Here is a 26,025-nt window from a genome sequence, read left to right on the forward strand (position 1 = left end):
ACTCAAGCGATTCTCCTGCCTCAGCCTTCCGAGTAGCTGGGACTATAGGCACGTGCCACTACGCCCAGCTAATTTTTGTATTTTTAGTAGAGACAGGGTTTCACCATATTGTCCAAGATGGTCTCGATTTCTTGACCTTATGATCCACCCACCTCGGCCTCCCAAAGTCCTGGGATTACAGGCGTGAGCCACTGTGCCTGGCCGAGAGCACATTCTTAACCAAGTCATTTCCCTGCTATTGGCCAGGTTGACAATTTGAAACCACTTTCTTAGGGTGACTTGCACCTTTTTTCTGTTCCCCATTAAATAATATTCCCCACCTTGATGCATCATTTGACCTTTTTCAAATATTGTTTTTGAGTAACCATCTTACTTCTACATATGGTAACAATACTGACATCAGTCAGCTACTCTGAGGCTGATGGTCAAATACTTTATAAATATATATGAAGACATTGTTTTGTTTATCTACCATTAGTAAGTAAATTTAAGGCACAGTTGTGGCTGCAATCACTTGGAATAGAAATGTGAACCAAATCGGTGTTTACATATTATTTGTGACTAGTACAAAAAGAACGTAGAATATAGAGTCCTATTTAGGAGTTTCTCTTTATTCTTTTATTTCTTTTAGGTAGATTCTGTGGGGACAAATTGCCTGAAGTTCTTACTTCTACAGACAGCAGAATGTGGATTGAGTTTCGTAGCAGCAGTAATTGGGTAGGAAAAGGCTTTGCAGCTGTCTATGAAGGTAAGTCACATTGAATTTTAGAGAGTAGTTCATCTTATATCTCAACAGAAATGTTCGTTTCTTAATTTCATTACAATGACATTGTGACCATATTGTAAAATTATGAATTTTTCTGAATCTGTATTATAATATTCATACAGATAATTTTAACAGTAAATTTAAATTGCAAGAACAACCTGTTGTCTAGTATCAGTGATGTAATAATATCTAAATGTGTTCAGGATGTGTGGAGAAAAAAGCAAATGGCTCAAGAATTCTTAAAGTTTAATTGTTTCATGATAGTTTTAAAACATTATGAAGAAATTATCATTTTCCTTTGTACTGATTTTGTGTCTGTTTGGTCCCTGTATTCCCGAAATACTTTTTATTAGAGGAAATTGCACAGAAAGTAATTGTGCCGATTTCTGAGGCATGCTTTATCTAAATAAGAGAGTCAGCATTTGAGGAAGGACTTATTAAATGCTTTGTTTTATGCTTCTCTAAAACAATAAACTGGCATTGTGCTTTCTTGGCTTTAAAACCAGCTCCTTTCTTGCCAGGTTGTGGGTGGAGGAGACACTTCCTAGTACAGCAGTTTAAGTAATTTTGAAGACAGAAGATTTCTGCTTCCCTTAAACTTTTAAGTAAACGGAAGCATTTTGTTTTAAGGATTAACTGCCTAGTAGTGAAGAGGATTATTTGGAGGGAGTCACGGACGCTGCGCACATGACACTAACTCGCTGCCAGAGACCCAGTGAGTTCTGTTCAGGATGAGGCTCCTCTTCTGATGAGCTATTTTACCTGTGGTCGAAAGACCAAAGGAAGCAGCTCAGAGAATCACAGAACAAACTCACAGAGAATAAATTCACAAAGCCACTAAAGGTTTTTAAAGGTTAAAAAATACCTTTTCGTTAAGATAGGATTAAAAATTATTTATTCCTTGACCATTATCTAATATTTGTAGTTACTTTACTAGGTTTTTTTTACCACATAAATATTTGCTACATTACAACCAGTCAACTTTGATTTTTATAGCCTGGTCTTTATGTACTGAGCTACAGGAGCTGAACTTCAATGTTACCCTAGAAGAAAATGAAAATGAAATAGCATGTCCAGGCTTAGTTATTTGTTTATTTTTTGGCTTTCTTCAGCGATCTGTGGAGGTGAGATACGTAAAAATGAAGGACAGATTCAGTCTCCCAATTATCCTGATGACTATCGCCCGATGAAAGAATGTGTGTGGAAAATAACAGTGTCTGAGAGCTACCACGTCGGGCTGACCTTTCAGTCCTTTGAGGTAAAGTCTTTTAGGCTATCTTCCTGGCAAATATTCTCCATAAACGACAATGGCATTTAAGAGAATCCTCATTAAATCAGCAAAGAAACAGAGAGTCAGCCTTTTAATCAGCAAAGAAGCAAAGGATCGCTCATAAAATGCAACATCAAGAGCAAAAGGGTTTTTTTTCTTCTTTCCTCGTTTGGAGACGTTTTCAAGAAGATTAAAGTGAGTTTACATTATCTGTGCTATTTGAATTAGAATGTTTGAAGTACTGACAATAGTTTCTTTTGACAAATGCACAGGCTTATTTCACAAGAGTGTCCATTAAGTAATAGAACTTTTATTTCTCTTCTAAACTAAGAGATTAAAAGGTAGAAAGTCTTTTTTGTAAGAGGAACAAAACATTTTTCACCTTTTTTTTTTTTACCATAACACAGATAATTGTTTATATCAAAAATAGGGATTTTAAGTGTTCTTACGAGCTTTCAACCTCGTTAAAAATATTCATCAGGGAGATCAGCAGCATCGTTGTGTTATTAGATGACGGGTCAGAAGAAACCAAAGGCCAATCAGAATTTTTGGATCAAAGTCTGGGTCCAGAACTAACACGCTGGCCCGTGAGTCATTTTTGTGGGTTGAAAGGGACTGAGTTAAACATTTAAAGCCAAGAAATAGAGGAATTTCTCAGGAACTCCAGAGTATGTTTAAATCAGAGTTGGTCTAGTAATTGAGAGCCCAAGCTGAAGTGGAGAAGAACAATGAGATGCAGGTGGTAGGTCCCAACCAGGGTTAGAAATTTAGATACATGATTGGAGATGGAGTCTTTACTGATTGGAAGACTAATTCACTAAGTGATCAGAAGGTAGTCATGAGCCCTACTACCCAGTGGGTAGTAATGAGCACTATGAACACTACTTACTGAGGGCAGTGACCGTGGTCATGGTTGTGTGTCTGTACCTGCAGCAGGAGCACCAGGAGAATCCAGGGATTGCCAGTAAAGCCAGAGAATCTCTCATCCTCATCTGGAAGCCTGTAAATTCTATTTCTTCAGTACTTGTCTCTGTCCCCTTGCATGTACCATTTAACTTCCCAGATGTATTTCCTTTTGTTACCAAAAAAATATATACTTTCTACTTTAATCATTATGTTGTATTTTATGCTCCAGACCATTTTTTTTTTGTACTTTTGGAAACTGGTTTTGCCATTATTTGATTGACAGTTGAACTTTGTTAATTTAATGGACTAATAGGTTTGCAAATACTGTTCAAATAGACCGGTTTATTGTTGATAGTTAATTAAAATTGAGTAGAAAAATTTCACCCATGATTTAGACAAAAAAAAGGCTCATAAAAATTATCCACCCAATGTCTGTGTTTGCTGTTTTGTGATATTTCAAGAATTAAGAGATTAACTGTCTTTTAATATGTAATTCAGTTTTTTTGTGGAATTCTATTATAGACATGATGTCAGAAAATGCATTCATTCCATCAGCCTGAAAACTGATGCATGAAGTTGCTACCTTAGTTGATTTGTAGTTTATTTTTTTATTTATCAATGCAATAGCAGTGACAGTCTTCAAAAATAAGATAACATAAGGACAAATGGAAAAGATATGCACCTCAGGCACTTAGAACCATGCCTGACACACAGTAGTTGCTTAATAAATACTTGTTTACTGAATGAATGAATCAGTGATGACTACAGTTTATGACCTGGGAAAAGTCATGTCATAGAATGGCTGAGAGTACATTTTATTTATTGTCTCTAGTTTCCTGTCCTATCTTCATATTACTTTATTTCTATATGTTTCTGCCTCCCTCATTTATATGTTAGACATATTTTGATATCTGGTAGATCTCTTGTCTTTACATGACCAAAACCGAACCCTTGCTTATTTTATTTTACTTACTAAACCCACTCTTCTTCTATTTATGTCAGTACTATTTCAGTACTTTTTGTCACCGCTTACCCAAGGAACATCCTTAATTCTACCTTTTCTCTTAAGCCCTGCAGCCAATCTATCAGCATATATCAGTTGCTTTGTCTTCAAACTATACCTCATACACGATGACTTTACACCACCACTGTTCTCATCATCACCCCTTTGCTTGGAACTCACAGGAAGAACCTCAGGTCTCTACTCTTGCTCTGCATATCCCGTTCTTCACCTCAAAACCAGAGTGATGCTTTTACAATGTACGTTAGATTATGACACTGCGCTACTGACAGGGGATTTCCATCACACCTAAAATAACATCTAGACTCGATTATCATGGGCCACGGTACTTTTGATTGGTCTTTGGCTCCTCCTCACTCCCTCTGTGTCAGCTCGTCTCGCCCTCTTTCTCTTTCTCAGAAACACCAACCTCACTCCCACATCACAGCATTTACCACTGATGTTCCGCTGCCTCAGATCTTTGCTTTTACTCTCCTATTACTTTATTTGGATCTCTGCTTAATTACTGCCTTCTTAAAAAGTTCTTGGCTGATAACACTACTTAAAATACTTTCTTACCTACAATTACCTCTAAATCATCACTCTGTTTTATTTTTAGTAAATTGCACTTCCAACTACCAGAATTTATGCTGCATATCTCTTTATGTACATGTTTATTATCTGTCTCTCTCACTAGAATATGTCCACCAACGGATTGGGATCTTACCTGTGTCTCTGATCATTTTGTTAGGATTTTACCTGTGTCTCTGATCATTTTATCTCCAGCAACATTGTTTGTGAGATTAATGTTGGGTAATAGATGAGAAAAATGGATGGATGGATTATATGTAAGTCAATGTATGAATGTGTGATGGTTGGCAGATGAAAATGAATATATCCTTTATTAAAGGCATGTAAGTTTCCATGCAGAGGGAAACAAGCCTGGATACATAAGAAAGATTTAGATTATGGAGTACCTGGTATGGTGAAGTTAGACTGACTTTAGACTAGAGACGCTGAGTTTCAAGAAATTCACAAGTCACAGGATTTAAAGGTGCCTAATAGACATCTAAATCTTCTAGGCAAGGAAACTGAGTTTATGCCGCTAACCTAGTATCACACTGGTGAGTACTAAAAGAGCATTAAAACCCAGGTACATTTGATCCTGATTTTGTTTGCAAATCTGCTTATTTACTAAAATTTTGGAAGCCTAAAATTAATATTTGCAGTGCCTTCTAGGTCATTCACAGACATGTACACAGCAGCAAATTTTGAGTCACCTAATGTGCCCATTGCCAGCTGTGATGTGCCTTACTGAGAAAACACGTGTGTCAGATTATCTTCGTTCAGACATGTATGGTGTATATATAGGGCTGTTGGGTAAGAGTTCAGTATTAATAAATGGGCAACCTGTATTAATGCGTCTTTAAACAGAAACGCACAAAACAAAATGTTGTGACTAGAATCTCACAGGAACTGTAACCCTAGGAGCAATGAATCAGTACTTGCCAGTTCAGTATTCCGAGCAACTTAATAGAATGTAACTAGCATGAATATCAAGAATCAGCTTTATATATTTTCTTATTTGTTCTAATAGTCATTAGGTGGTTGTTTAATTTAGTCAATTATCTGTTTATATCAATTTTTTTGTTTACATATGTTTTCAATATGGGTATTATACATTTTATACATATTTATGTTGAAAATGTATAATCAAAATGTTTTCATAAATTTTCAATATTATATGATTTTACCTGATAAAGTACAGTTTTTATTCACTGATTCTAGTCTTTGCCTTGTTTCAAAAACTGTTTATATTTTTGTTTATTATTCTTTTTTTTTTGAGATGGAGTCTTGCTCTGTTTCGCCCAGACTGCAAGGCAGTGGCGCGATCTCGGTTCACTGCAACCTCCACCTCCCAGGTTCAAGCGATTCTCCTGCCTCAGCCTCCCGAGTAGCTGGGACTACAGGCGTGTGCCACTGTGCCTGGCTAATTTTTTGTATTTTTAGTAGAGACAGGGTTTCACCATGTTAGCCAGGATGGTCTCGATCTCCTGAATTCGTGATCTGCCCTCCTTGGCCTCCCAAAGTGCTGGGATTACAGGTATGAGCCACCGCACCTGGCCTCATTTATTATTCTTTATAGTAACTAATATAATATATAATTAATAATATATTATATTATATTATTATTCTTCAGATATAAGGACCATGAAGATAAACTTGTCCATCATGCTGTTGAAATCTACTTTAAAGAACTTCTTAGCTGTCCATCATTCATGCTTCTATGTGAATTTATGTCATGGCTTTACCTTTGCCAGTGCCATTTGCATTTTCATGAAAGTGCTCAAATAAAGTTTATGTGTCTTTGTGAATGAGTTTCAGGAATCTTTGAGCAGGAAGGAACACTATTTGGCAGGTAATAGAATCTTGATGCCTCTGTAATTATACCATTTGGGAAGTGATGTGGTCTGGATGTTTGTGTCTACCCAAAATTTATATGGTGAAACACTGATTCTAAAGGTGATGGTATTAGCAGTGGGGTCTTTGGGACATGATTAGTCATGAGAGTGGAGCCCTCATGAATGAATCAGTGCTCCTATAAAAGAGGCCTAGGGGCTAGGTGCTGTGGCTCATGCCTGTAATCTCAGCACTTTGGGAGGCCTAGGCAGGCGGATCACCTGAGGTCAGGAGTTCAAGACCAGCCTGACCAACATGGTGAAACCCCGTCTCTACTAGAAATACAAAATTAGCTGGGCGTGGTGGTGGGCGCCCGTAATCCCAGCTACTCAAGAGGCTGAGGCAGGAGAATCGCTTGAACCTGGGAGGCAGAGTTTGCAGTGAGCCAGGATCGTGCCACTGCACTCTAGCCTGGGCAACAAGAGCGAAATTCCGTCTCGGAAAAAAAAAAAAAAAAAAAGGCCTAGGGAGCTTCTACCATGTGAGGGCAAAATGAAAAGGCAACGCTTATGAAGAGGGCCCTCACCAGACACTGAATCTGCTAGTGCCTTAACCTTGAACTTCCAGCCTTGAAAACTATGGAAATAAATTTCGTGGTTTGTAAACCACCCTATCTATGATATTTTCTCATAGCATCTGGAATGGACTAATACAGGAAGTTTTCTCTCCTCTGGTAGTTATTGGATACATTATTTTTTAAGACCAGTATACTGAAGTGAGTTTGTATATGAATATAGATTCCCTCTGAAAGTAATTTGGAAAGCTTGTTCTCTATTTAGCAGCAGAGTCATTTGTAAAGAAGCTTCTAGTACTATTATTTTATTTGAGAATTTTCAGTAAGAAGAAATACAAAAGAGAAAAAGTTTGGAAGGCTGGAAATGTTTACAGTAACAACTTCAAAGGAATGTCACCAAAGCAGAAAAGAAGTGAAATAAACCTGGAGCTTACTTGTGTTTAAATTGAAATTACCACGTACATTAGTTCAAACGGTATTAAGTTTGAGGTACTTGTCAACATTACTACACATTCTGATTTGGTGATACTTTCCTTATGAAAACCAGAGCTGATTAATACCGTTAACCACCACAGCTGCGAGCTGAAACATTCTAAACTATGTGCATAAGTTTTTATCTTGGTACTTGGTAGATTGCTTGTCTAAAAGTAATCCTCTAAATCCTTTAAATATTTTTTATTAATTTAATGATAAGTAGACTAGTCTTTGTGAGTGAACTAAAAAGCCGAGATAAGGAGGTTTTAATTAGTTAAGGATTTTCTGCTTGCCATGTACTGTTTCTGGGAACTTAGCTGAGAATATATTTTAGTAATGACTATAAAACAGAGGAGTTATGCAGCTCTTCATGAATTACGGTCTAGGCTATCCTTGTGTCTGAAAGATTAGCACTTGTTAGTTTCAATCAACTTGCCCAAGGTTGCACAACTGGTAGCACTATGATCGAAACCAAGCCCTGGCTCTGTGCATTTATGTCACCAGGTCTAGTAGTAAAGAGAAGCGTCAGTATTCTATTGATATAATATTACGGCATTCAAATCTTTCCTTTTGTAACTATCTTCACTTACACATTTTTGTTGTTTAATCATTATGTGTCAGTCCATCAGAGGCATGTCTGTTTTATTCACCACTGTTCACATACTGTCAAGTGAATATTATTTGGCCATAGCAGGTTTACAATAAAATTATTAAATTTATGAGTAATCAAAAAATACTTGAATCATGAAGAAAAAAATGAAGTGGCAGCAGTTAAATCATTCACATGAAAATAAACCTAAGCAAGACCTATGATGTTGCTTTTAACATGTTTGAACTTTTTTTTGAGCTGTAATTATTCATGTGTTGTGTCAACTTAATTTTAAATATTACTACTAATAAATATTATTAAATAAATAAGATAATATAATTTAAAATAATTATGTTTTAAACTTTTCACCTTTTTATTCAATGTTCCTTTTGTTTATACTATTATTTCCTAGACTTTACTAGATTTTTCTCATTATAAAAATTATTTTTAATTTTTAATGATAAATGCTCATTTGCATTGTTTTTATTAATCAGAGTTTTATTTAACATTTTCCCCCAAAGCATAAACAGCTTTAACATTGCTCCAAGCGTATATCATTTAAAATAATACTATCTATACAAGTTGCATCATTTAGATTGCATTAATTATATCTGATTACATTAGCTATGTTTTAAAGCTACATTGTAACAGTCATGAGAGCTATATTTGATTAAAGCAAAATATACATAACATAAAATTTTCCATCTTAACCAGTTGTTAAGTGTACAGTTCAGTAGTGTTAAGTAGATTCAAAATGTTCAAGCAATTTCCAGAACTCTTCATCTTGCAAAGCCGAAACACTATCCCATCACACAAAAACACCCTATTTTTTTCCTCCTTCCCCTAATTCCTTATGGCAACCTCCATTCTTTCTGTCTCTATGAATTAGAGAATTTTAAGTACCCCTTTTTAAGGTGGAATAATATTCCATTGTATGTGTATACCACATTTTATTTATCCATTCATCTATCAATGAACCTGTGGATTGCTTCCACTTTTTGGCTATTGTGAAAATGCTGCTATGAACGTAAGTATGCAAATATCTCTACAAGACTGTGCTTTCAATTCTTTGGGGTATTTACCCAGAAGTGGTATTGCTAGATCATATGGTAATTCTATTTTTTATTTTTTAGGGAGCATGGGATACCTTTTACTAAAAATTATTATCTAGAAATTTCTAAGTTTTCAGAGATTTTTATAAATAACTAGATACTGCAATAGATATTTGTGCAATGGTATATTGATTTGGAAATTTGGTTATCAAATGAAGGCAAGCATGTGAGTGTGTCCCAAGCCTGGCCATGACCCCTACCTCCAGGGCTGGCTTTCCTTCAGTGCCAGAGCTCACCCACATGCACTGACCACTAAACTCTGTACAGGTTGGCAGGTTTAGAATGAGAGGTTGACCACTTTTGGTTAAATTTATTTTAGTTGTTGCTAAATAGAAATCACTTACTTTTTCTATGGTTCGTCTTCATTCTGCATTAAAGATATGAACCCTCAGTAGTGAAATGTACTATGAATCCCTTCTGACTAGTCTTTGTACATGTTCTTCCTTCTTTGTGTATTTGGCTCTACTTCTGATATCATTTACTTACTAGTTTTCTGAAAATTGTTCAGAGCTTACTATCACTTTCCCTATATTCTCTATGAAGATATTAGGTCTGTTTACATTATGATAAACTTGTCATATTAATACATGGTTTATGCTCTGCTTACCTTAAAGTGTGTAAGAAATCGGCATCATCTTTATTTATTATATGTTTATTGTGTGTTTAATTATACAAGACATTGAGTTCAGCTCCCAGTTATCTGAACTGTATCCATGCTTTAACTCAAAAAGAAACTGCTCTTTCTCTTTTCTTTTTTCTCTTTTTTCTTTTTTCTCCTCCCTCCCTCCCTCCCTTCTTTCTTCCCTCCCTCCTTTCCTTCCTTCCTTCCTTCCTTCCTTCTTTCCTTCCTCTTTCTTTCCTTTCTTTTCTTTGTTTCTTTTTCATTCTTTCTATAAATCATCGCCTTTGGTGTTCTTTTACTGATGAAGCTTAAACTTACTGGCATGACATCGATGGACTTGATTCACATTTTAGTTTCAATCATATTTATTTCTATCCATTCCATATATTAATTGATGAAGTAATTTGATGTAGCTCAAGAAAATGTTACACAAATGACACAAATAAAGTAACTCAAATATTCATTTGTGCTCATTGTTATCACTCGTGTTGATGTAGCTGATGAAGTATAATTATGATTAGTACAAATGGAGTAAATTCATTGTGCAAGCCTTGCATTTAGGATTAAACTGGAAAAATAAGTAACTGAAGACCATTCAGGTAATTGACGAGATATCTAGAATTGTTGTTGTAAAGATATAATGTATTTCCAAATATCATAAATTCATGTAGATGAGGCACATATTATTTTCTAGGCAACTCAAAATCTGTGGCATTCACTGTGTGAGAATGCTGTTGCCCCAAATACCAGGTACATATTTAATATGTAAATAATATGTAATGCATAAATATGTACTAGTGAATTTAACCCTATAATTAGCTATTTTTACCTGTGAAATATTTACTCTTTGTGTATCATATAAAATATTTAAAATTACAATTTTTACTAAGTAACCAGTGAATACACTGTAAATTAAAATGTAAAGTGAATGATTGTATATCTATTAAAGGAATAGAGTGAGTTTTATAGACCAGGCAATATATAAATTATCCTATTTCTTTTTAATCATTGAAGAAATCTGAAATTTTGAGTTTCATTTTCAATAGGAACTATGTTGTCTTCCTTGTTTGTACCATAATTTTTAATAATAATCTTCTTAAAATAGTAATTAAAACCCTTTTTAATTAACATTTTTAATTTTTACACTAGCCTGATTTCTAATATGAAGCAATGTAATATTATCTTTTTTAAATTTATTTTATTTTGTGATGGAGTCTCAGTCTGTTGCCCAGGCTGGAGTGCAGTGGCACGATCTTGGCTCACTGCAACCTCCACCTCCTGGGTTCAAGCAATTCTCTGCCTCAGACTCCCAAGTAGCTGGGATTACAGGTGCCTGCCACCATGCCCAGCTAATTGTTTTGTATTTTTAGTAGAGACAGGGTTTCACCACCTTGGCCAGGCTGGTCTTGAACTCCTGACCATGTGATCCACCTGCTAAGACCTCCCAAAGTCCTGGGATTACAGGTGTGAGCCACCGTGCCTGGTCATAATATTATTTTTATTAATGGACCTTCTACTACAAGATGTTGCTTCCTTCATTGTGTATTCTCAATTCTTGTGGTTTTCTATCTCATTCTTTCTCCCCCTCTTCCAATAGGATTGGTGAATCAGGAGCAGTTCATTCTGTGCTGCTTTAGCAGGGGAGGATAGTTTGGTTTGCCAAGACTTTGGTTATTTTGTCTACAGTTTTGTCATTTATTCTGTTATCAAACTCTATAACTTGAAATCTGAGATATTATTTTCTGTATTGTCCCCTTGACCAAGAACAGCCTTTGGCCATCTGGAAATGTTCTCATATTTATAGAGAACCCTGATTTTGAAGGGATTAAATTAAAGACTGAGATAAGAGGTTATGTGTATATATATATATATATTTGGCCAAATTGGGCTTGTCACCCCTGGTGACCAATTGAGTTAGTTTTTAAAATGTGCTTTTAAAATTAGATATTCTTTATATAAATATTTTCCATTTATTCCCATAATTGTACACTCACAAAAATAATTTATTTTTAGGAAAAATATGGATTTATGAAAAGTATCCAATGAGCACCTACCTTAAAATCACAGCCTTCTCTCCCCCACCCAATTTCTCATACATCTCTCATCCAGTTACTAACTAGACCTGTTCTTAATTAATTTCTGAGATCAGATTATATCAGGAAACTTCAGGGTGGTAAGGCCATAGCCATCTTCTCACACTTCTTATCTTGCTACGCTTTCTATTTTTCCATTGAATTTATGACTTTCTAATATTTTATGATTTAATTATTTATTTTGTTTATTGTTGCTTTTCTGGCTACTCATCAGTAGAATGCAAGCACCAGGAGGGCAAGGTTATTTGATATTTTTCTGAATGATGCATACCAAGCAGAGAGAGTGCCTAGTGGAGAGTAGGCACTGAGTATTTTGTGACTAGGAAGCAGCAAATGTAGTACCTAGTTCTAACTAAATCTGTGCTTCAAAGTGTATTTTTTTTGTTTGTCTTTATACTACCTCATTTGAAGACTATTATTGTTAGTGTTTTGATAAGGCAGAAAACATATTTTTCTACCAACTATACTGGCAGTTTCATGCGTTCAAGTTGCAGTTCCATGGACATTCCCCGATATTCCTTGACATTCTACGTATTCCTTAACACTAGTAACAGAGTTCCATAAATTAACGAATTGTATGTTGAGTGATATTGACAACATTTGATACTTTTCTTGGTGTTTTAATTGTAGATATCTCTGCTTTCTACTTTTAAATACCTAATAAGCAGTTGACTCTTTGAAGACTTTAGTTCTAGTGGTCAACTTCTGTGAAAGGTGAAAAACAAGAATTTTACATAAAAATTGTCTTACAATTTTTAAAACAATTTATAAATTTTGTTTTTTTTTGTTGGTTTGTTTTCAGAAGTTCAGGGCTGAAACATGGGTCCATGAACATATAGTTCCCCATAAAGTGTCATAGGCCAATAGTCTCACCTGATATTTGCATTCATTTGTTAAGGAAAGAGATTGAGTTTCCCCTGATTATCTGGGCTGAGAGGAGTGTGTTGAGATAAAAAGCCTCATCCAAACAAGGCCATATTTCCTTGGGAAAGGGAAAACCACTGTTGATTCTACTATATAGTAGTCTTTCTCTACACAGCCAGGTTAATTATGGAGAAAGAATTCAATAGACTGAGGAAGAACAGTAATCCCATATTATCAGATTTTCGTTTCAAAAAGAGATTTATAACCAAAAATAGTGCTACATTTGTTCAGAGTATTTGAATCCAAATCTTCTATGAATACAATAATGATTTTATTGAAAGACTATGGAGCAATTTTTTTTTATTATACTTTAAGTTTTAGGGTACATGTGCACATTGCGCAGGTTAGTTACATATGTATACATGTGCCATGCTGGTGCGCTGCACCCACTAACTCGTCATCTAGCATTAGGTATATCTCCCAATGCTATCCCTCCTCCCTCCCCCCACCCCACCACAGTCCTCACAGTGTGATGTTCCCCTTCCTGAGTCCATGTGATCTCATTGTTCAATTCCCACCTATGAGTGAGAATATGCAGCAATTTTTATAACTATGATTCAGAAGAAGTTATATATTACTTGCAGCAGTGTATCAGGCCCAGATTTTTAGTGATAATTTTTAATTTTGGATTTTTTTCAGCCTCTATTGAATGAAGAATTTCTACTTGTAGTTTAATTTTCTTTTAAAAGACAACTAATTTCTGCTGATCCTGACTCATGTGGATGTACTGTTTCATAGTTATTTTTTATCCTTCCCTGTCTACCAGAATAACATCCTTTGTTCATGGATATTACAGTGTACGTTCATGAGAAACATTCAAGTACACTCATTTGATACAAATAACTTTTATATTAACAAATCAGAAGTATGGCACTGAGAAGACATCTATCCTCCTATATAAAATGTTTTATCTATAAACATATATTTTCACATATTTTTTTCTGTTGCAGATTGAAAGACATGACAATTGTGCTTATGACTACCTGGAAGTTAGAGATGGAACCAGTGAAAATAGCCCTTTGATAGGGCGTTTCTGTGGTTATGACAAACCTGAAGACATAAGATCTACCTCCAATACTTTGTGGATGAAGTTTGTTTCTGACGGAACTGTGAACAAAGCAGGGTTTGCTGCTAACTTTTTTAAAGGTAATTTGAAATAATTTTCAAACGTGAGATTTTCTTTATCAAGGATACTTGTAGTGTTTAGCTTTGATTTAGGGGAGAACTAGAGAAAGTTGTATTGAAAGTTGAATATGAATAAGGATATTTTGGAGAGTTTCGATAGAAAAGGTTATTAATAAAATACTAGAGTTTAGAACTTCATAGCACAGGATAGGAATTCCATTAGGATATTCTACCATCTGTTTTTTATGAAATGGTCAAAACAGCAAGTTCCAGAAAAGGATATACAGACAGAAAGAAAATATTTGCAATGAAAATAACCAACCAAGAATTCATGAACAGAAGAAGGTTACTGACATGAAGTTTATCTATTTGTTTCCAGGTGCCAGCATTACTCCCTTTCAGACTAGTATTCCCCCACATTGAAAATAATTTATGACCTCCTTAGCAGAATATTCTGGTATCTCAAATGTCTTTTTGACAGATAATTATCTCTGATCAGCTTTGATTTTGAAATGCATAACTACATTTCAGTTTATTCTTATGTCCCATATTTTGTATGTATTGTGAGGTGAAAGGAAAGCAAATATTTTGGTGAAAATATTAACATCACATATGCATTTAGGAAATTCATTGACACTTATGTTGTGTGTCATTATAGAATAAAATTTTTCTATGGGAAGAGAAAACAAAATTTTCCTCCATATTGATTTTATAGGATAAATGATATAGGATAGGATAAAGGATTCGATTGTGTATTGCAAAACTTAGAGTGATAGATATGTAAATATTGTCATAATTTAAAGAAGATCAGTGTAATGGATTTTCCCTGGAAGCTATTTTATTCATCATATGAAATGAAAGATAGAAAAGCTTGGCACTTTTACTACAGGTATTAAAAGAATTCATTAAAATCTCCATTTACATGTTTGAAATTTTCTGTATGTGATATATTTCATAGAAGAAACATGCTATCAAGCTTCTTTCATGTGATATTCATATATTTACTTATCAAAATCAAGTGTCTTGCTGATGCATAATTTCTTCAGAGGATGTTTACTATTTGTCTAACTCACATGAGGTTATTCCTGAAGAGTGAGATTATGGAGTATCCTGTCATATACATTTTAAAAAATATTATATATTGTATATATATACTTTATGTATATTTTGGGTTTCAATATACAATTATACAGTATGTATATTTATTAAAATGGGGTTATCATATTTTCTGGAGCAAAATGTCTATATAAGAAACACAATGTTTTAAATTTAAAGAGATCCAGTCAATTTCTGAGTTTTATACCTTTTAATTTATGTTCACCACAATCTATTTCTTAATAATGATATTTCTTTAAAAGAATTTTTGCTGATATATCTATTAAGCTATAATGTAAAATTAGCATTGCTGAAGCTATGCTTTTTAGTAAGTTTTTAAATTTCATTCTGAAAAAAGGCTAGGCTTCATTATCCTCATTTGACTTCAAATTCAGAAAAACACACACTGTGTCTGAGATAAGGTGATCTTCAGTTGGCCCAGCAATAGGTTTCCAGGCCTTCTGTGGGTTTTTTGACAATGCTCAGTTAGCAGCAACATGAATTTGTATACGTTATCCATCAGGGGCTTATACGTTGTTCCTGCTCCTTTGCTGATAGAAGCAATGGAAGAAATGAATTGTTTCCATTTTATTTGGAACCATTAAGCATGGTAGTTTTTTAGAAAGATTTACGCCCTCATATATATATATAAGAATAGCATGGAAAAGAACCCCCAACCATGATTCAGTTACCTCTCACCAGGTCCCTCTCATGACACGTGAGAATTTTGGGAGATATCATTCAAGGTGAGATTTGGGTGGGGACACAGCCAAACCATTTCACATACATACACACATATATATGTATAGTTGTTCTATAACTATGACCATTTTCATAGAGGAAGATGAGTGTGCCAAACCTGACCGTGGAGGCTGTGAGCAGCGATGTCTGAACACTCTGGGCAGTTACCAGTGTGCCTGTGAGCCTGGCTATGAGCTGGGCCCAGACAGAAGGAGCTGTGAAGGTATGACTGCACTCCTTCCTGGACCCCCACCCCCCACAATTATTTATTTCTTATATTCTCATTCTCTGTCTGTCTTCCTCTTTCTTTCCCTTTTTCCTATAGTGACCTCTTTCCTCAATTAGTAAGACTCAATTCACAGTCACAGCTGATGTGAAACCTTACCTGAATTCTTGTTATAGAATGGGTCCTTTCCTCCTTTGATTACCAGGCCACCTTGTTTATATATGTATAACACACCATATTAGTCCATTCTCACGCTGCTAATACAGACACATTAGCATATTTATTATGCTAATGAAAACATACCCAAGACTGGGTAATTTGTAATAGAAAGAGATTTAATGGACTCACAGTTCCACATGGCTGGTGAGGCCTCACGATAATGGGAGAAGACAAAAGAAGAGCAAAGGCACGTCGTATATGGCAGCGAGCCAGAAAGCATGTGCAGGGGACTCCTTTTTGTAAAATCATCAGATTTCGTAAGACTTTCTCACTATCGTGAGAACAGCATGGAAAAGACTCCCCCCAACCATGATTCAGTTACCTCCCACCAGGTCCCTCCCATGACATGTGGGAATTATGGGAGCTGTCATTCAAGATGAGATTTGGGTGGGGACACAGCCAAACCATTTCACACATATATAAATAAATGTATCTATACTTGTTTCTATCTAGATTCATCTATATATAAATCTACATCTAGACCTAGATTTATATCCATCCCTCCTTTCATCCATCCATCCATTCACCAGGCCACTGTGTTTGTACATATTAATGTATCTGTAGATATCTCTGTCTAGATCTAGATTTTTATCTATCCATCCTACCATCATTCATTCATCCATCTCTCATACCAGGCCACCATGTATATGTATGTTACTATATCTAGATCTATTTCTGTCTCTATCTAGATCAGATTTTCATCCACCCATCTATATATCTATTCATCCCTCCATTTCTCCATCCATCCATCTGTCTATCCATCATTTGTTTTTATCTTTTTCTTAATATAGTCTTTAGGTATATCTCCCTTATTAAAATGAGAAGTCCTGAGTTAGAATCATCTTTGTATCTCTAATATCTAGCACAGTCAGACATAAAGCAGGAGATAAATATGTGTTTTATCAATAAAAGATTGATTTTTTTAAAAAGACTTTTTGTCGTGGTTATCTGCATTTCGTCTTTATGTTTTAAGATGAGGTTTCTTGTAAAGCATTTTCTTACCATTATCTATGATCTCTTCCTTCAGATTTTAAAGCTAACTCTTTTTTATTTTCCCTGCCTCCACCCTATTACAGGCCCCATACCGCTATTACAGGCAGGATGAATTGGAAGATCTTTCTTACTCCAGTCTGTTCCTCCTTTATTCCTCTTTTAAAATTTCTGCAAAATTCATCTTCATAGAATGTGTAGCAGTTTAACATTATTTATATTTATGTATTTATTGGTTTACTGTGATGTCTCCCATCAAAATGTTAGTCCTCTGAAAATGAGCACCTGTTCTCTACTGTACCTGTAATAGAGGATATAATAAGTGGCAAAGGGGAAAGAATTATTTGCTTAATGCACGCCCCCCTGCTGACCTATTTAGCAAAAATCAGAGACTCCCTGTTTCTTCTTAAAAGTCTGAACTTTCCTGTTTGGCTTCCAGAAGTCTCTATCCCACCTATTAACCTACTAATCTTCCCCCTTTACTAGAATAAAAAAGACCTAGTAATGAAGCAGTATATTTTTAAAAGAGGACATTGTATATGAGACAATCAAAAAATAACAAGACTACTGTTTCTGTGGAGCAACTAGAAATACTTATCTTATCATAATTTACCAAGAAAGTGGTAAAAGTAACTACAGGTAGTGTTTGTATATACTTATAAATATAGCATATATGTATATGTGTATACACACACACACACACATACACGTGCACAAAGACAAAAAAGGGACCAGTTATTTTAGGTAACTCTTGACTCCTTAGGAATTAATTATGAACTGTGTACAATGTATGTTCTTTTTACTCAGCTTGCTTTTGGATACCATGATTTTGCTAATTTCACTGTCAATAAGGAAGAGATGAAATTTAAATAGAACCTTTTAAAAATAGATCATCACAGATCTATTTAAAAAGAAAATCAGTATTTAAATTGGACTTTTTGGAATAACAAATATGCTCTATTTACCATAATTTATCTTGTCTGGTAGCTCAGGTAATATTGAGTTACTTGTCTTGGAAAAAAAGTTTGAGGAAATGAACAATTGATTTGGTTTTATTACATCATCCTAAACTGTGCTTTACATGTATATTTTCCTTAAATCTCCTAACACCCTTCTCAATTCCGACAAAAAAAAAATTTTTTTCCTTAATTCTGTAGTGGCCAAGGCACTACAAGATATTATTAGACCAACTCTAAAGATAAGAAAACTGAGACCTAGATTTTTAATTTTTTTTAAATTGCTCCCCCTACTTTAAAGTTACTAAAATTTAGTACAGCCATAATATTCTCGGCTACTAAGCTACAAAATAACACCTTAAAAATGAGACTTAATGACCACAATACTTGTATCAAGACTAAGGAGCAGAGACTGCCATTTCTGGATTTTAAAATCCAGAAGATAGTTGAAATTTAGTGCTGAGATGTTTGGGTATTAATTAATGGACAGGTGCTAAGAAGTGGGTGACTTCATGGGGAGAATATACCTTTTTCTTTTCTTTTCTTCTAGCTGCTTGTGGTGGACTTCTTACCAAACTTAACGGCACCATAACCACCCCTGGCTGGCCCAAGGAGTACCCTCCTAATAAGAACTGTGTGTGGCAAGTGGTTGCACCAACCCAGTACAGAATTTCTGTGAAGTTTGAGTTTTTTGAATTGGAAGGCAATGAAGTAAGTGAACAATAACTGTAATTTTTTAAATCATGTTTTGGAACTCCCTGAAGGCAAACTGTGAAATTAAAAAAAAAAAAGATGTAGTAAAATAGTATAGACATTGTATTCTTTCTTTGTCTTACTGCTCATTTCTGCAACTGCTTATGAATCTCGTTGGCATTGGATGATACTTTAGACTCTTTCTGGAAGATTGAAAATTACCTAGAGGGAGTTTTTATTTAGTGTATTTAATATTTACCATTTTCTTGATTTGTTAAATAACTATGGAGTATTTAGGGTCAACTTCATGTCACATAGACACTTCTAGAAAAAAATAAACCAAAACCCTGTGGCTGAGTCATAACAAAAATATCATTTGGAAGAACCTGGCATATTTTACTTATGGAAATGGGTATATTTACATTATATATGTAGCTTTTCATTATGAATGTGCTCGTGGTTCATAAAGAAGGAAAGATTAATTTTTTAACCTCAGTAAAAGATGTATTTAAAGCTATCCTTTTTTAATGCAGAATATAGCTTACTCTACTAAAGGTACAGTTTCTGTCAGGTGACTACATTTAAACAAGTGAAATCATTTATTTGAAAATTCCTTTGTGCTAGTGCACACACACACATCAAATTCAAGTGGAATGTCAAGCCTGAAATGGGAACTTTTAGAAAAACATCCTTTGTGTGATTGGTCAACACTGGTTTAATTCCAGAGGAAAGGTTATAAACGTTTGTTTTGTTTCGTCTTCTGTACGTTCTCTTCTTTTTCTAACTTCCTTTGCATCCTTTTCTCCCAACAACGTTTTTAACGTTTATTAAATGAACATGATTTTTATCCATCCATAAAATAAAATTAACCCACAAAAAATATTTTGTCTTTGATGTACATCAGTTGGACACTTTTGTCTCTGATGTATATCAGAGAACGGAAATGTAATGTATCTGTGCCACTGAAGCAGTAATTGTTGGTAATATTTGTGGGTTTTATACCATAGTTTTGCTTTTGTGTGTCTATTTTTCTTCTTCCTTTTTTACTGCCTACTTTTCCTCCTTTCCTTTTTTTTTTTTCTTTTTTTTTTTTGAGACAGAGTCTCGCTCTGTTGCCCAGGCTGGAGTGCAGTGGTGCTATCTTGACTCACTGCAACCTCCGCCTCCTGGGTTCAAACAATTCTTCCTGCCTCAGCCTCCCGAATAGCTGGGATTACAGGCATGCGCCACCACACCCAGCTAATTTTTGCATTTAGTAGAGACGGGGTTTCACCATGTTGGCCAGGCTAATCTCGAATTCTTGACTTCAAGTGATCCGCCTGCCTCAGCCTCCAGAAGTGCTGGGATTACAGGCATGAGCTACCGTGCCTGGCCTCTTTCCTTTTAATTACTTTTTTTCCTCTTAATTCTGCTTGTAGTAACCAAGGAGGTTTTAGCTTTTTACTAGTGGCTTTTAGGTAAAAAAGAGGTAGCTGACTTCTGTGTTCTCTTAAAGAAAATTAAAGTTTGAAATATGATGAACTTTTGCTGTGCAGAAGCTCTTTAGTTTAATTAGATCCCATTTGTCAATTTTGGCTTTTGTTGTCATTGCTTTTGGTGTTTTATTCATGAAGTCCTTGTTCATGCCTATGTTCTGAATGGTATTGCCTAGGTTTTCTTCTAGGGTTTTTGTGGTTTTAGTTCTAATATTTAAGTCTTTACTCCATCTTGAATTAATTTTTGTATAAGGTGTAAGGAAAGGACCCAGTTTCAGCTTTCTACATATGGCTAGCCAGTTTTCCCAGCACCATTTATTAAATAGGGAATCCTTTCCCCATTTCTTGTTTTTGTCAGGTTTGTCAAAGATCAGATGGTTGTAGATGTGTGGTATTATTTCTGAGGGCTCTGTTCTGTTCCATTGATCTATATCTCTGTGTTGGTACCAGTACCATGCTGTTTTAGTTACTGTAGCCTTGTAGTATAGTTTGAAGTCAGGTAGCATGATGCCTCCAGCTTTGTTCTTTTGGCTTAGGATTGTCGTGGAGATGTGGGTTCTTTTTTGGTTCCATATGAACTTTAAAGTAGTTTTTTCCAATTCTGTGAAGAAAGTCATTGGTAGCTTGATGGGGATGGCATTGAATCTATAAATTACCTTGGGCAGTATAGCCATTTTCACAATATTGATTCTTCCTATCCATGAGCATGGAATGTTCTTCCATTTGTTTGTGTCTTCTTTTATTTCGTTGATCAGTGGTTTACAGTTCTCCTTGAAGAGGTCCTTCACATCCCTCGTAAGTTGTATTCCAAGGTATTTAATTCTCTTTGAAGCAATTGTGAATGGAAGTTCACTCATGATTTGGCTCTCTGTTTGTCTGTTATTGGTGTATAGAAATGCTTGTGATTTTTGCACATTGATTTTGTATTCTGAGACTTTGCTGAAGTTGGTTTTCAGCTTATGGAGATTTTGGGCAGAGATGATGGAGTTTTCTAAATATACAATCATGTCATCTGCAAACAGGGACAATTTGACTTCCTCTTTTCCTAATTGAATACCCTTTATTTCTTTCTCCTGCCTGATTGCCCTGGCCAGAACTTCCAACACTATGTTGAATAGGAGTGGTGAGAGAGGGCATCCCTGTCTTGTGCCAGTTTTCAAAGGGAATGCCTCCAGATTTTGCCCATTCAGTATGATATTGGCTGTGGGTTTGTCATAAATAGCTGTTATTATTTTGAGATACATCCCATCAATACCTAGTTTATTGAGAGTTTTTAGCATGAAGGGCTGTTGCATTTTGTCAAAGGCCTTTTCTGCATCTATTGAGATAATCATGTGGTTTTTGTCTTTGGTTCTGTTTATATGATGGATTACATTTATTGATTTGCTAACATCAGAGTGAACAGGTAACCTACAGAATGGGAGAAAATTTTTACAATCTACCCATCTGACAAAGTTCTAATATCCAGAATCTACAAAGAACTTAAACAAATTTACAAGAAAAAATCAAACAACCCCATCAAAAAGTGGGCGAAGGATATAAACAGACACTTCTCAAAGGAAGACATTTATGCAGCCAACAGACACATGAAAAAATGCTCATCATCACTGGCCATCAGAGAAATGCAAATCAAAACCACAATGAGATACCATCTCACACCAGTTAGAATGGTGATCATTAAAAAGTCAGGAAACCACAGGTGCTGGAGAGGATGTGGAGAAATAGGAACACTTTTACACTGTTGGTGGGACTGTAAACTAGTTCAACCATTGTGGAAGACAGTGTGACGATTCCTCAAGGATCTAGAACTAGAAATACCATTTGACCCAGCCACCCCATTACGGGGTATATACCCAAAGGATTATAAATCATGCTGCTTTAAAGACACATGCACACGTATGTTTATTGTGGCACTATTGACAATAGCAAAGACTTGGAACCAACCCAAATGTCCATCAATGATAGACTGGATTAAGAAACTGTGGCACATATACACCATGGAATACTATGCAGCCATAAAAAATGATGAGTTCATGTCCTTTGTAGAGACATGGATGAAGCTGGAAACCATCATTCTGAGCAAACTATCGCAAGGACAGAAAACCAAACACTGCATGCTCTCATTCATAGGTGGGAATTGAACAATGAGAACACTTGGATACAGGGTGGGGAACATCACGCCACACACCGGGGCCTGTCATAAGGTGGGGGGAGGGGGAAGGGATAGCATTAGGAGATATACCTAATGTAAATGATGAGTTAATGGGTGCAGCATACCAACATGGCACGTGTATACGTATGTAACAAACTTCACGTTGTGCACATGTACCCTAGAACTTAAAGTATAATAATTAAAAAAAAAAAGAAATGTGATGAACTTACATATTTCAAGGAATTGCAGAATCTTGGAACTCAATGGGCCATTTGAGCTTCTTTTTAACATTATGTGTAAGTTTTATAATGAGAAAGACTGCAATTTATCATTTTAACATACTTTACATGAAATATAATTTTCTTTTAATAAGTAAAGAAAATTATTTTTATACTATTTTTAGAGAGGTTTTTCTTTTTGAGCTACACCTTTTGAAAATGGGAATTTCCCTACCAATTCTGGGATTGATGTGAACTTAGTGTTGAATGACATCTACTCCCATAGTTTTCCCTTAAGCTATTACTGTGTTGGGTGTGACATTTTGATTTATTAATTGATAGATATTTGTAATAAGTCTAGAGGTCTGCATTCAGGAGAAAGCAGGGGAGATGGTTTTATATAATTGAGGTATTGTGTTCTGAAAGCATTATTCTCATAGTCAGGGTCACCATTCATAGAATGGCTGTTTACAAACTGTGTTAACATATTCTTGTGTTCTTTAATTTATAATCATGTTACTGTGTAGAAAGCTGTTACAGAATTCTCTGTATTTTCATAGTTTGATATCTTAGCTATTTAAAATAAAAGGCCTGAGCAAAAACTTGACTTACAGAATAATGGGTTAGGCTTAAAACATCATTATTTTATTCATTATATTGCTATTCCAAAGGAAAGTCAATGACAACATCTTTAGCCTCGGAAACAGTCTTTTATACTATATTGGAACTCTCCAAACAAAAATTGCAATTGTAACAAAGTAAGTAGAAAAGTTATTTCATTTTCCCTAGCAGCATTTTGCTTATTCATCACCTATTTAGTAGCAGAAGAACCAGTAATTTGAGTTGACATATTTCAAAGCACAGATCTTGCCCCAGGGTTCAATCATATGCATTGTTAAACCTTGCTAATTACATATTTATGTAATAAGGTCATTCATGCAAGATTTGTTCTTGAACATGTGCCCTGTTGGAACTTTGGAAAAGTATATTATGGAAACATCTGTTAGTGGCCATAAAATTGCTTAAGAATACCTGGCATTCATTTAGCTTCTTCCATTTTAGTGTTGTTAGTATATTATATATAAATCAGAATGAGGCTACCTTATTTTAATATAAATTCTTACCTCCTTTGCACTGAATAGAATTCCTATGTGTTTGCAGTCCTGCAGCAACCCTACAGAGTAACTTCACAGCACTCAGCAACAAAAAGAAATTAAGAAATATCAGTCCTTTTAGTAAGTTTAAAAAGCAAATAATCTTTTTTATTATACATCAAGTATCCATCTTTCTCTTTTAAAGTTACTAATGGTGCTGTTCTCATTAGAATGTGGTGTTTCTGGGAGACAGTACTGGACTAAGCCGAACTCCTTGTTGTTAATCACCAGTGCCATGTATGACAAGTATCATTTTGGACAAGCTATATAAAAATCTCTGAACTTCAGTTTTCTCATCTCTACAATGGAAAGAGCTATTTCTATTGCTAGTAGTTGTGTGCTGGGATTACAGGCATGAGTCACTGTGTCTGACCTGATTTTTTTCCTTACCTGTTAGTTCTAGTTTGACTACCGTAAGAGTAAAATGGGAAAAATAAGATATGTTTTTTTAAGATAAATGTCAATCATCTTGTACTCACAAATCTGGCAACTGATAACCACATTTTTTTCTAGGTTTGCAAATATGATTATGTGGAGATCTGGAGTGGTCTTTCCTCTGAGTCTAAACTGCATGGCAAATTCTGTGGCGCTGAAGTGCCTGAAGTGATCACATCCCAGTTCAACAATATGAGAATTGAATTCAAATCTGACAATACTGTATCCAAGAAGGGCTTCAAAGCACATTTTTTCTCAGGTATAAGCATTCACATGTTGTATGTGTATATTACAGATTTTCAATGTGGGTTGGATTAAATTGTATGTGATCTATTTTTCATAGTTTTCTGTAAATGCAACTTGAAGATAAGTAGGCCTTACAAACAACACAAAAATAATTATAGCAATATTTTTATACAGTGACTTTACTCTTTACAGGTGGATGGGAATAATGATACAAGACCTCCAAAAAGGGGCAGATTTTTCAAAATAATTTTGCTTTGTGTTCGGAAAATGTAGTCTCATTTTAGCAACAGTTTTTTATCTTTTTATTTAGCAATGTATTTTTTCTTATTTTAATATATTTTCATTATTATTAAGTTAATATTAAAATTGTGCTTAGCCTCATCATTATAGAAATGGTTGCAGTAAGAAACCTAGGAACATGGAAATTATAATTTTACTAAATATAATATATTGTCAGCTGTATTTAATGGTTTGCACTTTTGTGTTTCAAATTTAACATTTAGTTTAAGCAGCTCAAAGTAAAATTTCCTTCTTAAAGAGCTGAAATTTTATAAAACTCCCCAGATTTTATGGAAATATATAAAAAACCAAGACATTTTTTTCTCAATCTCAGAATCATGCTTTATAAAAACATTATTTTGAAACTTCCAAAGTAGATAAAATTGCAATAAACCTTAGTATAGCAATCTATTCTGTCTTTGCAACTAGCAAGCAATTTAGAGCAACTGAATTCCAATTATGTTTTAATGTTAGGTAATTTGGATTGAGTTAATTCAAAGGCCGTTTATTCTGGTCCTCATGTGTTTAAAATTAATGAGATTTACAATGTCTAGGGTTTGTTTGGGGTTTTCAGTATAATTGAAGTTAATGGTTCACAAGCTCCATTGAGTTCCAAGTCATACAGAAAAGAGCCTCCAGAATACAATGGACCTCGGCTCCCGTGTTCTCATTCCCTTCTTTTTTCCCAGGTTAAATGACCTTTTACAAATGCTTCTCAGGTATTCATTTAAGATTTATGTTATTCAAAGTATAGTTTTAATATTTTAATGAAAATAAGACTTTTTAAGACTTCACTATTTTATAAATATTATGTGTGTTATAAAGTTTAAATGATCCCATGGTTAGGTAGAGACAAGGTTACTTATCTTAAAGCTATCTAAATATTTATTTTAAAAATTGAGATTATGAAGTAAATGATTTTTGTCATAATAATTAAAGTTACTAGTGAGTACTGTGTTCACTATTTGGGTGATGGGTTCAATAGAAGCCCCAAACCCCAACATTACGCAATATACCCATGTAACAAACCTGCACACATCCCACATGAATCTAAAATGATTTTTAAAAAGAAAGTGTTCAGGATCCTTTTTATGTTACTTTAGTCATATATTTAATTTTAAATTTTTTTAAGAAAAGAAACATGCTACAAATACTGACTACAAAGTATGATTAAATTTAGTTACCCAGAAAATTTAAAATTCCCTTTCTGATATTTTTGGTCAGAAAAAATTTTCCAAATTATAAAAACAGATTATTCGTGTCCTTAGAAACAGTACTGTTGAAATATAAG

The 26,025-nt window shown here is 34.7% G+C and overlaps 1 protein-coding gene and 1 pseudogene across 1 annotated transcript in view, besides 2 other annotated features; one reads left to right on the forward strand and one right to left on the reverse strand.

Annotated features, from left to right (window-relative positions):
- TLL1 (tolloid like 1) overlaps window positions 1-26,025 on the forward strand; it is a 231,221-nt gene that overhangs the window by 168,159 nt on the left and 37,037 nt on the right. The window contains exons 11-16 of the mRNA NM_012464.5: window positions 632-748; window positions 1,879-2,024; window positions 13,681-13,876; window positions 15,789-15,914; window positions 18,633-18,793; window positions 24,288-24,468. Coding sequence (NP_036596.3) covers window positions 632-748; window positions 1,879-2,024; window positions 13,681-13,876; window positions 15,789-15,914; window positions 18,633-18,793; window positions 24,288-24,468 — 927 coding nt within the window. The remainder of the gene's footprint in view (window positions 1-631; window positions 749-1,878; window positions 2,025-13,680; window positions 13,877-15,788; window positions 15,915-18,632; window positions 18,794-24,287; window positions 24,469-26,025) is intronic.
- Window positions 1,237-2,436: an enhancer, noted in NCBI's record as "BRD4-independent group 4 enhancer chr4:166963784-166964983 (GRCh37/hg19 assembly coordinates)". NCBI's record gives its function as "activates an origin of replication core promoter dependent on BRD2, P300/CBP, MED14 and CDK7 cofactors, and independent of BRD4, by STARR-seq in HCT116 cells {active_cell/tissue: HCT116}" and the evidence as "EXISTENCE:reporter gene assay evidence [ECO:0000049][PMID:35650434]".
- Window positions 4,192-4,251: an enhancer, noted in NCBI's record as "active region_22120". NCBI's record gives its function as "activates an Ori minimal core promoter by ATAC-STARR-seq in GM12878 lymphoblastoid cells {active_cell/tissue: GM12878}" and the evidence as "EXISTENCE:reporter gene assay evidence [ECO:0000049][PMID:35858748]".
- Window positions 11,792-11,892, reverse strand: RNA5SP170 (RNA, 5S ribosomal pseudogene 170; annotated as a pseudogene).

The sequence above is a fragment of the Homo sapiens genome, chromosome 4 (genome assembly GCF_000001405.40).
Source record: "Homo sapiens chromosome 4, GRCh38.p14 Primary Assembly".
NCBI classification, from domain to species: domain Eukaryota; kingdom Metazoa; phylum Chordata; class Mammalia; order Primates; family Hominidae; genus Homo; species Homo sapiens.